The sequence below is a fragment of the Homo sapiens genome, chromosome 22 (assembly GCF_000001405.40).
Source record: "Homo sapiens chromosome 22, GRCh38.p14 Primary Assembly".
Classification (NCBI taxonomy): Eukaryota; Metazoa; Chordata; class Mammalia; order Primates; family Hominidae; genus Homo; species Homo sapiens.
This window is the reverse complement of record NC_000022.11, coordinates 18,758,116-18,772,504: the sequence shown is the minus strand read 5'-3', so window position 1 is coordinate 18,772,504 and position 14,389 is coordinate 18,758,116. Positions and strand designations below refer to the sequence as shown.

General features: G+C 50.5%; 1 long non-coding RNA gene across 1 annotated transcript; it reads left to right on the top strand.

Moving 5' to 3' along the window:
• The first annotated feature begins 2,657 nt into the window (after positions 1 to 2,657).
• On the top strand, positions 2,658 to 13,970 carry FAM247C (family with sequence similarity 247 member C). The gene is made up of 2 exons (XR_937989.2): positions 2,658 to 3,298; positions 13,345 to 13,970. It is a non-coding gene; the product is annotated as a family with sequence similarity 247 member C (long non-coding RNA).
• Positions 13,971 to 14,389: the final 419 nt, after the last annotated feature.

The window sequence follows — 14,389 nt, the reverse complement described above, 5'->3', positions numbered from 1 at the left end:
CCGGCCTCAATCCTTATATTGGCCTGAGAGGAAAGGCCGTGGCCCCATTTGCAGGGGAGAAGACTGAAGCTGGAGGGGCAGGCCTTGCTCTGGGTTGCACAGCAGGAAGAGAAGTGGGAGCTGGCCACGAGGCTTCCTGGACCCGACATGCTGGTGGGGTACACCCTGGTTCTCTAGGTCCCATGGGGCTCAGCCCAGGACTACCTCGGGGGGTGAGGGACTTAAATCGTCTCCTTCATTCTCATCGCCCCTTCCCCCATCATTTCCTGAGGAAGGACATTCAGGGACCTGAAGGGGTGGCCTGCCCCTCCACACCTGTGGGTGTTTCTCATCAGCTGGGACAAGAGACTGAGAAAAGAAAGAGCCACAGAGCCAAAGTATAGAGAAAGAAAAGTGGGCCCAGGGGACCTGCACTCAGCATATGGAGGCCCCACGCTGGCACCAGTCTCTGAGTTCCCTAGTATTTATTGATCATTATCTCTACCATCTCAGAGAGGGGGATGTGGCAGGACAATAGGGTAATAGTGGGGAGAGGGTCAGCAGGAAAACACGTGAACAAATGTCTCTGTGTCATAAACAAGGTTAAGAAAAAGGTGCTGTGCTTTGATGTGCATATACATAAACATCTCAATGCATTAAAGAGCAGTATTGCCACCAGCATGTCCCACCTCCAGCCCTAAGGCAGTTTTCTCCTATCTCAGCAGATGGAATATACAATCAACACTGAGACATTCCTTTGCCCAGGGACGATCAGGAGAGAGATGCCTTCCTCTTATCTCAACTGCAAAGAGGCCTTCCTCTTTTACTAATCCTCCTCAGCACAGACCCTTTACAGGTGTCGGGCTGGGGGACGGTCAGGTCTTTCCCTTCCCACGAGGCCATATTTCAGACTGTCACCTGGGGAGAAACCTTGGACAATACCTGGCTTTCCTAGGCAGAGGTCCCTGCGGCCTTCTGCAGTGTTTTGTGTCCCTGCTTACTTGAGATTAGGGAGTGGTGATGACTCTTAACAAGCATGCTGCCTTCAAGCATTTGTTTAACAAAGCACATCCTGCACAGCCCTGAATCCATTAAACCTTGAGTCGACACAGTACATGTTTCTGTGAGCACAGGGTTGGGGCTAGGGTTACAGATTAACGGCATCTCAAGGCAAAAGAATTTTTCTTACTACACAACAAAATGGAGCCTCTTACGTCTACTTCTTTCTACATAGACACAGTAACAGTCTGATATCTCTTTCTTTTCCCCACAGGGACCTTCCTGGCTGTGCCTCGGGTCAGGACCAGAATGACACCCATTCATTTCCCTGGGCCTTTGCTCGGGCGGTCCCTGCACCCTGGCCTCTGCCTGACGAGGATGGTGGGGAGAGGAGGGGGACGTCCCCCACACTGCTGTCTCCACTGTTCCTGCTGCCCAGGCCTCTGGGCTTCCAGGACTGCAGCGGGTCGGTGGGTGGGCTGGCCTGAGCCCAGGAATGCACTTCAGCTCCTGGTTGAGCAATGTCACTGAGGCTTGGGAGTCGGGTGGGGGCGGGAGGAGGCGTCCGCAGGCCCCCCTACCGTGAGAGGCAGCCGTGGGAACAGCCTACCTCTAAACAATCACTGCAGCCCAGGCTGGCCAGGGGCTCTGGCCGGACATAGGGGCCTGGCAGGCTGTGTGCCCTGTAAGGACACAGTCTGTCTCTGTGCCTCAGTTTCTCTGCTGCCCAGATGGAGGGGCCCAGACTCCAGGTGTAGACATCTGGAGCAGGCAGTGTTCAGTTGGGGAGGAAGCGGGGAGGACTGTGGGGGCCATGTGGGAAGGATTCCACCCCACATCACCTGCACCCCTGCTGAGCCTGGTCAACGGAGCCCCTCAGTGGGTCCTCACTCCCCTGGTTGCCTCCCATTTAGGCACCCTGAGGCCTGGGGAGAACAGAGCCAGGCCAGTGTCCCCAGAGAGGCTGCGCTGCCAGCACAGTAGTAGCGGATTTGGATTCAGGGAAGCAGACCTGCAGCCAGGGTGGGAAAGAGCTGCAGGTGGGGTGGGGCCCCCACATGGCACAGCCCCCCTCCCTGGAGGACCATGCTGCATTTCCAGGACAGCAAGTCCCAGGGATGGATGGTGCCTGGTGCCAAGGGCTAGAGGCATGGTCTGTCTGCATTTCCCACGTAAGTGTCTCGTAGTCACTAGCATTTGATGCTGTCAAGACCCCCTGTCCTCTGTGCAGACTGGGAAGCCCTTGGTCACCCTGGGGGAGTTGGGGGACCCAGGCCAGGCTGCAGAAGCATAAGGACTTGAACCCGGGTCCTGAGTGACACCACCTTGGGTCCTCCTCCTTCTGCCTCTGTTCAGCTCCACCTTGATGCTGACTAGGCTGGGCCATGCGGAGAGGGTTAGGGGATAGAGATGGGAGCTGGGGAGCAGGGCTCCACTCTGGGAGGGGGGCAGCCTTGCCGGATCCAGGGCAGAGTTAAGCGGCCCCAGCTCTGCTTTCCCAGAGCTGCTGAGAACCTGGGGAATGGTGTGGAGGTTCCAGGGAGCCCTGCCCCTACCTGGCAACCGCAGTGCAGCACGCACCAAGTTCTCCTGCACATTGCGACAGTGTGACCATGGGCTCTGGTGGGCGGTAGGTCGGGCCTTTGGACCTACCAGCAGTGAGGGAGTTAACACAGCAGCTGACTTCTCTAGGCAAAGAAAACTCCCCTCAGACGCTTTGCTGCCTGGCCTCCTGCCAGGAACAAGCAGGAGCTGAAAACTAGAAGTTGAGGCATGAGTTTGGCCACTCCGTAGTGTGCACTTGGTGAGGGCAGCAGCTCGCCACAGCTGCCAGCCATCTGTCCATTCACCCATCTGTCCATCTGGCAGCCCGCTGTTCAGACCTGTCTGTCTGTCCGCCCATCTGTAAGCCCATCTCTGTCCCATTGTCTATCTGACCATCTTTCTCTTACTGTCCTCTTTGTCTAGCTATCTGGCCTGTCTGTCGATCCATCTTCGTGTCTGTCTTCAGCCCCCACCTGTTTGTCCATCTGTCCAATTACCTGTGAGTCTATCTATGCATCTTCTTGTCCATTCATCTGCCCACCCATCTGTCCCTCCATCTGCCCACCGGCCTCCCCTCTCCTTCTGGGCCGCAGAGCCATGGCCCAGGACTACGGAGCCATGGGTGACCTGGTCCTGCTGGGGCTGGGGCTGGGGCTGGCGCTGGCTGTCATTGTGCTGGCTGTGGTCCTCTCTCGACACCAGGCCCCATTTGACCCCCGGCCTTTGCCCACACCGCTGTTGCTGCTGACTCCAAGGTCTTCTCAAATATTGTACGGTGAGTGAGACGTGGGAGGAAGCTGGGTGGCCTTTGGCAGCCAGCCCCTCCTGGAGAAGGCGTGTGTGTGTGAGCATGTGTGTGTGTGAGAGATTATGTGTGAGTGTGTGTGGGTATATGTGTGAGTGTGTTTGTGGGGTGTGGGTGTGTGTGAATGTGTGTGATCGTGTTTGGGTGTGTGTATGTGTGAGTGTGGGTGTGTGTGAATGTGTGTGATTGTGTTTGTGTATGTGTGTGTGGGTGTGTGTGAGTATATGTGAGTGTGAGTGTGTGGGGGTGTGGGTGGGTGTGAATGTGTGTGATTGTGTTTCGCTGTGTGAGGGTGTGTGTGACTGTGAGTGTGTGAGTGTGGGTGTGTGGGTGTGTGTAAATGTGTGAGTGTGAGTATGGGGGGTGGGTATGTGTGAATGTGTGTGATTGTGTGTGGGTATATTTGTGGGTGTGTGTGTGTGTGCACGTGTGTGTGTGTGCACGTGCACTGGCCCAGTAAGCAGGAGCCGTGTGTGTGGGCTTCAGCACCTGCAGGGCTTGAGCGCAAGGAGACAGCCTCAGGGCCCTTGCACAGAACAGGCGGCAGGGTGTGCCCGTGGGGCAGATGGGGACTTGGGGACAATGGTGGTGTGTGAGTCCATACCTGGCTCCAGGATTCAGGAGGCCCATTTGCATATCCCAGGTGGGAACCTGTCTGGCCCCGCCTGACCCTGCTGGCCGGTGCAGGCCCCTTCAGTGAGGCCAATTCTCCAAGGCTGCGGTCTTCTCCCAGGGTCATGGGTGAAGGGGTTTGGAGGCTCCCTGCGTGGGTACTGGCCTGCTGGGGTACACACAATGCTGCCATAGCCAGTCTGCCCCTACACCCAGCCCGGGGCCACATCTCAGGTCTCTCAGTCCTGAGGAGCCCGGTGCCCCACCCCTCACATCCTCTCTCCCTGAGTCAGGGCCTGGGTCTCGTGAGCTGAGTGACTGATACTTGGTGTCCTGGATGAGGGCGTGGTGGAGAGGGGCCACAGCGGGTGTTTCCTGACCCTCTTCCAGGAAGGTGCTGCTGCCGCTGCAGGGAGGACACACACAGGATGCCCCTTCTTGCCCCCTGCCTCCCATTGGGCCCACAAAAGCCAGGGCAAGCCTCCCCTCCCTGCCAGCCACCTGGTCTGCTTCCCAGAAATTCTGTCTTGCAGGCTGTTGGGAGGATCCCAGTACTTTGTAAACTAAAGCAAGGGAGGAGTGGCCGTTCTCTCTCTTTGTTCATTCATTCACCTTTTCATTCATTCCTTCTTCCCTCCATTCCCCCATCTGTCCATCCTTCCCTGCCCTGATTGCTCATGCCACCCCCCCAGCCCCTCCTGACCTGGTCCTTTGGTTTCTCTTCAGGGCTTTCTGTCTCCTCCCACAGGGCTGAGAATGGCAGCTCAGGGACAAGTGGGGGCTGGGGACTGCTTAGTCTCCCCAGTGGCTCTCAGGGGATTTGAGGGTTTGACGTCAGCTGCCACCCCAGGCTGTGCCCCTCCTCTGCTCGGGAGGACATACAGAGATGCGACACCCACTTAAACTCGAAGTTGCAAAGATGCAAATGAGACTGGGGTCTCAGGCACCAGAGACCACCCGTGGGCACGTGGCTTTTGGGAGTGGGGACCTGCTGCCACAGATCTCTGAAGAGTCTGGACCTGCTGGGTCTCCCCGAGTGACTGTCTGGGGGTCTCCATAGCATGCCCTGCTGTGTGCGTGACGGTCACTGGTTGGGTAGGGGTCTCTACTCTAAAGCTCCCTCTGCCGGCATCCCCTCGAACTCTCCCTTGGTGAAGAGAGGATGTGGTTTGCCCCAGTGTTTTATCAAACAACTCTCTCCACTTCCAGTTTTAAGAAGCTGGGAGTGGAAGAGAGCCTGGGGCTGGCCCCAGCTGCTGCTGTGAAACAGGGGTCACTGGACGCTGGGACCCTGGCCGGGCTGGCTGGAGGCCTCAGGAAGAGGCCTGCTACAGCGTCATCCTGGCCAAGATTCCTCCCTGCAGAGGACCCTGGCCACGCTGCCACAGGGTCTGCTGGGGCCACCAGAAGCCCATGCTCCTGCCTCCATCTCTCCCCTCTGTGCTCACCTCTCACCAGGAGGCCCTCCCAGAGTTCAGTGTCCTGCTTTTTTTTTTTTTTTTTTTTTTTTTTGTGACGGTGTCTCACTCTGTCACCAGGCTGGAGTGCAGTGGCGCGATCTCAGCTTACTGCAACCTCTGCTTCCTCGGTTCAAATGATTCTCCTGCCTCAGCCTCCTGAGTAGCTGGGACTACAGGTGCCAGCCACCACGCCCCGCTAATTTCTGTATTTTTAGTAGAGACGGGGTTTCACCGTGTTGGCCAGGATGGTCTCTATCTCTTGATTCACCCGCCTTGGCCACCCAAAGTGCTGGCATTACAGGAGTGAGTCATGGCACCCGGCCTCATCTCCTACTCTTTCAGCACCAGGTTTTATTCTTGGGATTCTGCTACAGCCGGAGCCCCTGGGTGCGAGTTCCTAAGGTTTCTGTGAGTGTGGACCCAGCACCGTGCCTAGTAGACATACAAAAGGAGCATGGTGACAGTGAGGTCTGTCATCTCCAGCATAATGACTGTTTTGATCCTTGTAAAAAAGGTGATTTTTGGCTGGGTGTGGTGGCTCACACCTGTAATCCCAGCACTTTGGGAGGCCGAGGGGGGTGGCTCACTTGAGGTCAGGAGTTGGAGACCAGCCTGGGCAACATGGTGAAACCATGTCTCTACTAAAAATACAAAAATTAGCTGGGCATGGTAGCAGGTGCCTGTAATCCCAGATACTTGGGAGGCTGAGACAGGAGAATCACTTGAACGCAGGAGGCAAAGGTTGCAGTAAGCCAAGATTGCACCACTGCACTCCAGCCTGGGTGACAGAGCAAGACTTGGTCTCAAAAAAAAAAAAAAGGAAAGAAAAGTTTATATTTTTGTTCTAATGGTTATCTTAATATCGTCATTCTATAATTATATGTTTTATATAATTATAATAGCTATATAAGATATAATACCCCTAGTATGTTGTTTTTTGGATATTCTACTTGCTCCTGATGGTTAATTTATGTGTCAACTTGGCTAAGCTATGGTGTCCTGTTGTTTGGTCGAATACTTGTCAATATCTTGCTGGGAGGTTATTTCATAGATGTGATTAACACTGACAGTCAATTGACTTTAAGTAAAACAGATTACCCACCATAATATGGGTGGGCCACCTCCAATCAGTTGAAGGCCTTAAGAACAAAAACTGAGGTTTCCCAGAGAAGCAGGAATTCTGCTTCAAGACTGTAACACACAAACCCTGCCTGAGTTTCTGGCCTGCTGACTGCTCTACAGATTTTAGGTTCCAGACTTCGAGATCAACTCTTACCTGAATTTATAGCCTGCTGGCTTGCCCTACAGATTTTAAAACTTGCTAGTCCCCACAATCATGTGAGCCAATTCCTAAATAAATCTCTCTCTATGTATAATCTATTGGTTTAGTTTCTCTGAAAAACTTTCACATTCCAGTTTCCTGGTTGTTAAGAATTACCGAAACTAGCTAGTAACTTCTTTTTTTTTTTTTTTTTTTTTTGAGACAGAGTTTTGCTCTTGTTGCCCAGGCTGGAATGCAATGGCACAGTCTCAGCTCACCGCAACCTCCACTTCCTGGGTCCAAGCAATTCTCCTCCCTCAGCCTCCTGAGTAGCTGGGATTACAGGCATGTGCCACCATGCTTGGCTAATTTTTGTATTTTTAGTAGAGACAGGGCTTCTCCATGTTGGTCAGGCTGGTCTTGAACTCCCAACCTCAGGTGATCCGCCGCCTTGGCCTCACAAAGTGCTGGAATTACAGGCACGAGCCATTGCGCCTGGCTCCTAGTAAATTCTTCTTTTCTGTGATGTGTCTCTTACCTCTAATAATACTTTTCTTCTTAAAGTCTACTTCATTAAAAATAGTTATGCTGGGCATGGTGGCTCATGGCTGTAATCTTGGCACTTTGCTGGAGGTCGAGGTGGGTGGATCACTGAAGCCCAGGAGTTCAAGACCAACCTGGGCAACATGGCGAGACCCTGCCTCTACAAAAAATACAAAAATTAGCTGGGTGTGGCTAATATAATTCTAAGTTGGCACACTTGTAGTCCCAGCTACTTGGGATGCTGAGGTGGGAGAATCGCTTGAGCCTAGAAGGGAGAGATTGCTGTAAGCCAAGATCACATCACTGCACTCCAGCCTGGGAGACAGAGTGAGGCTCTATCTCCCAAAAAAAAAAAAAAAAAAAAAAAAAAAAGTTATACAGCTTTCTTGGTTAGTACATGCATGACATATTTTTCATGATCTTCCACCTCTCTGTATCCTTATATAAAAGGCATTAGTTGGGTTTTACTTTATTTTCAATTATTTTAATTTTTATTGTCCTTTTAAATGTAACTAATGATTTATTTGGGTTGAAACCCACCACCAATTTGTTTTCCATGCCTATTCTATTTCTTCTTATCTCCTCTCACATCTTGTTTTGGATTTATTATTTTTATTATTTAATTTCCTCCTTCTCTATTAGTTTCATAACTGTGCAGTCTTAGAGTTATTTTAAAAGATGACTGGATTATTTTAGAGCTTACAACATGCATCCTTCACTTATCAAAGTCTAACATGAGCTAGTACTTTTTGTTGTGGTTGAGATAGAGAGAGTCTTCCTCTGCTGCCCAGGCTGGAGTGCAGTGGAGCAATCTTGGTTCACTGCAACCTCCACTTCTTGGGTTCAAGCAATTCTCCTGCCTCAGTCACCTGAGTAGCTGGGACCACAGGTGTGCACCACTATGCCCGGCCAATTTTTGTATTCTTTTTCAGTAGAGACAGGGTTTCACCATGTTGGCCAGGCTGGTCTTGAACTCCGGACCTTAAGAGATCTGCCTACCTCGGCATCCTAAAGTGTTGGGATTACAGGCGTGAGCCACCGCACCCAGCCTATGAGTTAGTACTTCTATCCTCTTCCTAGTCAGTACAAGAACCTTGGAACAGGAACTAAATTTACCCCCAGTGACTTATATGCTAATATTTTTGTGTATTTTAAATATGTGTGTGTGCATAGATGTATCTGTGTGTTTTTTGTGTTTTTATTCTTATTTATGTTGAGAGTGTAGAGCTATGTAAGAGTAAAGAGAATTGTGTAATGAAGCCCCGAGTATCCATTCAATTTCAACAACAATCTTATGGCCAAGCTCATTTCATGTATACTCTTTCCTGCTTCCCTCTACCCCACATTATTTCAGTGCAAATCCCAGATATATAACTGTACCCATACATATTTCAGTATGTTTTATTTCTTTTAAACCCCACAAGATATCATTTTCTATACTACTGTAATTTTATACCAATAACATTCATTTAGATTTACCCACACGTTTACCCTACCCTCCGGGTCCTGTTTGAAAATCAAGCCCATGCTCACAGGCCAATTTTTTTTTCTTTTAGAGACAGGGTCTCACTTTGTCACCCAAGCTGGAGTGCAGTGGTGCGATTATAGCTCAATGCAGCCTCCAATTCCTGGACTCAAGGGACCCTCCTGCCTCAGCCTGCCAAGTAGCTTGGACTATAGCTGTGTGTTTTATTATTATTTTGTAGACATGGGGTCTGGCTATGTTGTCCAGGCTATTCTCAAAATTCCCGGTCTCGAGCAATCCTCCTGCCTCGGCCTCTCAAAGGTTGGGATTACAGGTGTGAGGCAAGGCACCCAGCTCAGCCACAGAGCCCTGTTGCATCTCTCTTACTAGGAGCAAGAGCTGACTGCCCCCTCATCCCCATTCCAGAGTGTTGGGGCTGTGTTCAGCCGAGGCCGGGCCACTGGCATGGCCCAGGGAGCGGGATCATTCACTGCTGCCCCAAATCTGAGATCATTCCACCTTGACAAGACTTCCTCATCCAATCCCTTTACTTGACAGCTGGGGAAACCAATGCGCACAGAGCACCCCCAGCTCACTCGGGGTCTCAGAGCTGATCCATGAGCAGAGGCTGAGATCCTGGGATCTTGTCCCCCAGCCGCCCTGCAAGCTTACTCCCTTTCTGCTGGAAGAGATGGGGCCGGACCTCGACCAGCAGCCCTGGCCTGGACATGACTGTGCTCACCCAGGTATTGAGGCCGAGATGCCCCGGCATCATATGTTTTTCTCTCTTTTTTTCTTTTTTTTTGAGACAGTATCTCACTCTGTCACCCAAGCTGGAGTGCAGTGGCATGATATTGGCTCACTGCAACCTCTGCCTCCCGCTTAAAGTGATTCTCCTGCCTCAGTCTTCCAAGTAGCTGGGCCTACAGGCTTGTACCACCACACCTGACTAATTTTTGTATTTTTACTAGAGACGGGGTTTCCCCATGTTGGCCAGGCTCATGTCGAACTCCTGACCTCAGGTGATCCACCTGCCTTGGCCTCCCAAAGTGCTAGGATTACAGGCATGAGCCATGGCGTCACTTAAATGTAGTGAGAGGCCGGGCAAGGGGCTCATGCCTGTAATCCCAGTGCTTTGAGAGGACGAGGCTGTCAGATCACCTAAAGTCAGGAGTTCGAGACCAGCCTGGCCAACATGGTGAAACTGTGTCTCTACAAAAAAATAGAAAAAAAAATCCCTGCGTGGTGGCAAGTTTCTGTAGTCCCAGTTACTCAGGAGTCTGAGGCATGAGAATTGCTTAAACCTTGGAGGCGGAGGCTGCAGTGAGCTGAGATGGCGCCACTGCACTCCAGCCTGGGTGACAGAGCAAGACTTTGTCTCTAAATAATTAAATAAATAAATATGGCCGAGCATGGTGCCTTAGGCCTGTAATCCCAACACTTTGGGAGGCTGAGGCAGGTGGTTCATGAGGTCAGGAGCCCGAGACCAGCCTGGCCAAGATGGTGAAACACTGTCTCTACTAAAAATACAAAAATTAGCCAGCTGTGGTGGCAGGCACCTGTAATCCCAGCTACTTGGGACACTGAGGCAGGAGAATCGCTTGAACCTGGAAGGCAGAGGTTGCAATGAGCCGAGATTGCACTGCTGCACTCTAGCCTGGGCGATGGAGCAAGACTCCATCTCAAATAAATAAATTAATAAATACAGAGCAAGATTCCATCTCAAATAAATAAATAAATGTACACCTGTAATCCTAGCACTTTGGGAGGCTAAGACAGGTCGATCACCTGAGGTCAGGAGTTTGAGACCAGCCTGACCAATAGGGCAAAACTCCATCTCTACTAAAAATACAAAAATTAGCCGGGCGTTTTGACGTGTGCCTGTAGTCCCAGCTACTTGGGAGGCTGAGACAAGAGAATTGCTTGAACCCAAGAGGTGGAGGTTGCAGTGAGCCGAGATCTCGGCTGCACTTCAGCCTGGGTGACAGAGTGAGACTCTGTCTCAAAAGGAATAAATAAAATACAAAGTAAAAAAAAATGTAGTAAGATTGCAGAGTCGTGCCGCAGAAGCGTGCTGGTCCTATCCATGTAGTGAAGGCTGATTTCATACACAAATGTCAGAAGAACTTTTCTTTTCTTTTTCTTTTTTTTTTTTTTTTTGAGACGGAGTCTCACTCTGTCACCCAGGCTGGAGTGCAGTGGTGCGATCTAGGCTCATTGCAAGCTCTGCCTCCCGGGTTTATGCCATTCTCCTGCCTCAGCCTCCTGAGTAGCTGGGACTACAGGCGCCTGCCACCTAGCCCAGCTAATTTTTTTGTACTTTTAGAGGAGATGGGGTTTCACCGCGTTAGCCAGGATAGTCTCAATCTCCTGACCTCGTGATCCGCCCGTCTCGGCCTCCCAAAGTGCTGGGATTACAGGCATGAGCCACCACACCCGGCCTTCTTATATGCTTTTATTGCATTTGAGCGTACCTCTTTTACAGCGAAGATCTTTTTTTTTAATTTTATTTTATTTTTAGAGATGGAGTCTTGCTTTGTTGCCCAGGCTGGAGCACTGTGGTGTGATCATAGCTCACTGCAGCCTTGAACTCCCGGGCACAGGTGATCCTCCCACCTCAGCCTCCTGAATAGCTGGGACTACAGGCATGCACCACCATGCCTGGCATATTTTAAAGATGTTTGTAGAGATGAGGTCTCGCTATGTTGCCAGGCTTGTCTCAAACTACTGGGCTCAAGCCATCCATCCATTTCAGCCTCCCAAAGTGCTTGGATTATAGGCATGAGCACTGCGCCTGGCCATCACACTGTTTTTTTGTTTGTTTGTTTGTTTGTTTTGAGATGGAGTCTTGCTCTGTCGCCCAGGCTGGAGTGCAGTAGTGGGATCTCACCTCATTGTAAGCTCCGCCTTGTGGGTACATGCCATTCTCCTGCCTCAGCCTCCTGAGTAGCTGGGATTACAGGCGCCCGCCACCACGCCTGGCTAATTTTTTGTATTTTTAGTAGAGACGGGATTTCACCGTGTTAGCCAGGATGGTCTCAATCTCCTGACCTCGTGATCTGCCCGCCTCGGCCTCTCAAAGTGCTGGGATTACAGGCATGAGCCAATAAATATTTTTATAATCATTAACTACCGAGGAAAAGCTGGAGAGAAAAAAGGTGGATGAAGTTAAGGCAGAGAGACTTTGTAAGTTTCTTAGCTGAGCTTTTGGAGACTGTATATCAGAGATCTTATTTGAGGTGATTTTCAGCTACAGAGATAGGCCTGGTCATTTGAAAAATAACGGATTAGGTGAAGCTTGCGTTTGAAATCCTCCTTCTACTTTTCATCTTTCTCTCTTGTTTATTCTGAGCATCCATCTTAGACACCCAATCTTTGTCACTTTGTGGTTGTCATTGATTTCCCTGTTATTGAGATTAGAGGTTGGCAGACTTTCTCTGTAAAGGGCTGGAGAGAAAGTACTTCAGACTTTGTGGTCTGTGCGGTGTCTGTTGCAACCACTTAACTCTGCCCTGTAGAGCAAAAGCAGCCGCAGACAGTACATGGGCAGATGAGCATGGCTGGGGTCCAGTTACATTTACTTGCAAAAAGAGGGTTGGAGACTGGGTGCGATCTCCCACCTTTAATCCCGGCAATTTGGGAGGCCGAGGCAGGAGGATCACTTCAAGCCAGGAGTTCAAGACCAGCCTGGGCAACAAAGCAAGACTCCATCTCTACAAAAAAATAAAAATTATTATAGCTAGGCATGGTGGTACACACCCGTAGTCCTAGCTACTCAGGAAGCTAAAACTGAGGCAGGAGGGTCAGTTGAGCCCAGGAGCACGAGGCTGTGGTGAGCTATTATTGTGCCAGTGCACTCCAGCCTGGTGACAGAGCAAGAACGGTCTCGTCAAAAAATAAACAAAAGGCTGGGCACGGTGGCTCACGCCTGTAATCCCTGCACTTTGGGAGACTGAGGTGGGCAGATCATGAGGTCAGGAGATTGAGACCATCCTGGCTAACACGGTGAAACCCTGTCTCTACTAAAAATACAAAAAGTTAGCCGGGCGTGGTGGCGGGCGCCTGTAGTCCCAGCCACTCGGGAGGCTGAGGAGGGAGAATCGTTTGAACCTGGGAGGCGGAGGTTGCAGTGAGCCAAGATTGTGCCACTGCACTCTAGCCTGGGCTACAGGGCAAGACTCCATTAAAAAAAAAAAAAAAAACCAGCAAAAACCAAACAAAACATAATGCATGTTCTCTCTTATAAATGGGAGCTAAACATGGGGACTCATTGACTTAAAGATGGCAACAACTGGGAACTGCTGGATGGGGAGGGAGGGGAGGGGTGAAAGGCCAACTGTTGGGGAGTATGCTCATATCCACGTGACAAACCTGCACATGTGCCCGCTGAATCTAAAATAAAAGTTGAAAGTAGATTTAAAAAACCCCAAGAGGGCTGGGTTTGGCTTGTGTGTCCATAGCTTGTTAACCTCCGCTTTAGATATTAACTAATAGAAACATAGTGCTTAACTTCCCAGGCCACCTATTTTGTTCCTCTCCAAGGTGATGGATAGATGAAGGCCTAATCCAGCCGCCTGGAAGTTTGCTGACGCTTGTCCTGTCACGGATTAATGAAGCATTGTTTTCTGATGAAGGTTTCATGCCGCTGTGCTGATGTGTCTTCTCTTCTCTCTAGGCAGGAAACTGCATATCTTCTGGTTTACATGAAGATGGAGTGCTAATGGAAATGCCCAAAACCTTCAGAGATTGACACGCTGTCATTTTCCATTTCCGTTCCTGGATCTACGGAGTCTTCTAAGAGATTTTGCAATGAGGAGAAGCATTGTTTTCAAACTATATAACTGAGCCTTATTTATAATTAGGGATATTATCAAAATATGTAACCATGAGGCCCCTCAGGTCCTGATCAGTCAGAATGGATGCTTTCACCAGCAGACCCGGCCATGTGGCTGCTCGGTCCTGGGTGCTCGCTGCTGTGCGAGACATTAGCCCTTTAGTTATGAGCCTGTGGGAACTTCAGGGGTTCCCAGTGGGGAGAGCAGTGGCAGTGGGAGGCATCTGGGGGCCAAAGGTCAGTGGCAGGGGGTATTTCAGTATTATACAACTGCTGTGACCAGACTTGTATACTGGCTGAATATCAGTGCTGTTTGTAATTTTTCACTTTGAGAACCAACATTAATTCCATATGAATCTAGTGTTTTGTAACTGCTATTCATTTATTCAGCAAATATTTATTGATCATCTCTTCTCCATAAGATAGTGTGATAAACACAGTCATGAATAAAGTTATTTTCCACAAAAGGACTTTGCAGTTTTAACGGGGGGCAGTAGGGCTTGTGCTATAGAAATTCAAAGGCAAGGGAAGTCACTTCTGTTGTGGGGCCCTGGGAGGAGCCTACAGGCTGGAAAGGGTTAAGGTGGAGGTCTCCGATAGGGGCAGCGTACACAGTGGACTGGCTGCAAAAGGCCGTGCTCAGCATTCAGACAGCATCACACACTCTGCTTTTCTCTACCAGGGAGGCAGGTGGGGAAGGATAGCGATGGGAAGGCAGGCGGAGCTCAGAATGTGGAAAGGGATCCAGTAAGGCTTGGAAGTTTGCACCTGATCTGGTGGGTGGTGAGGAGCCCTTGAAGGGGCAAGGAGGCGAGGAGCACTCAGCTGTGTTCTTACACTGATCTGCCACTGGGGTTAGAGACAAACGTGGTGGGAATGGAAAGCC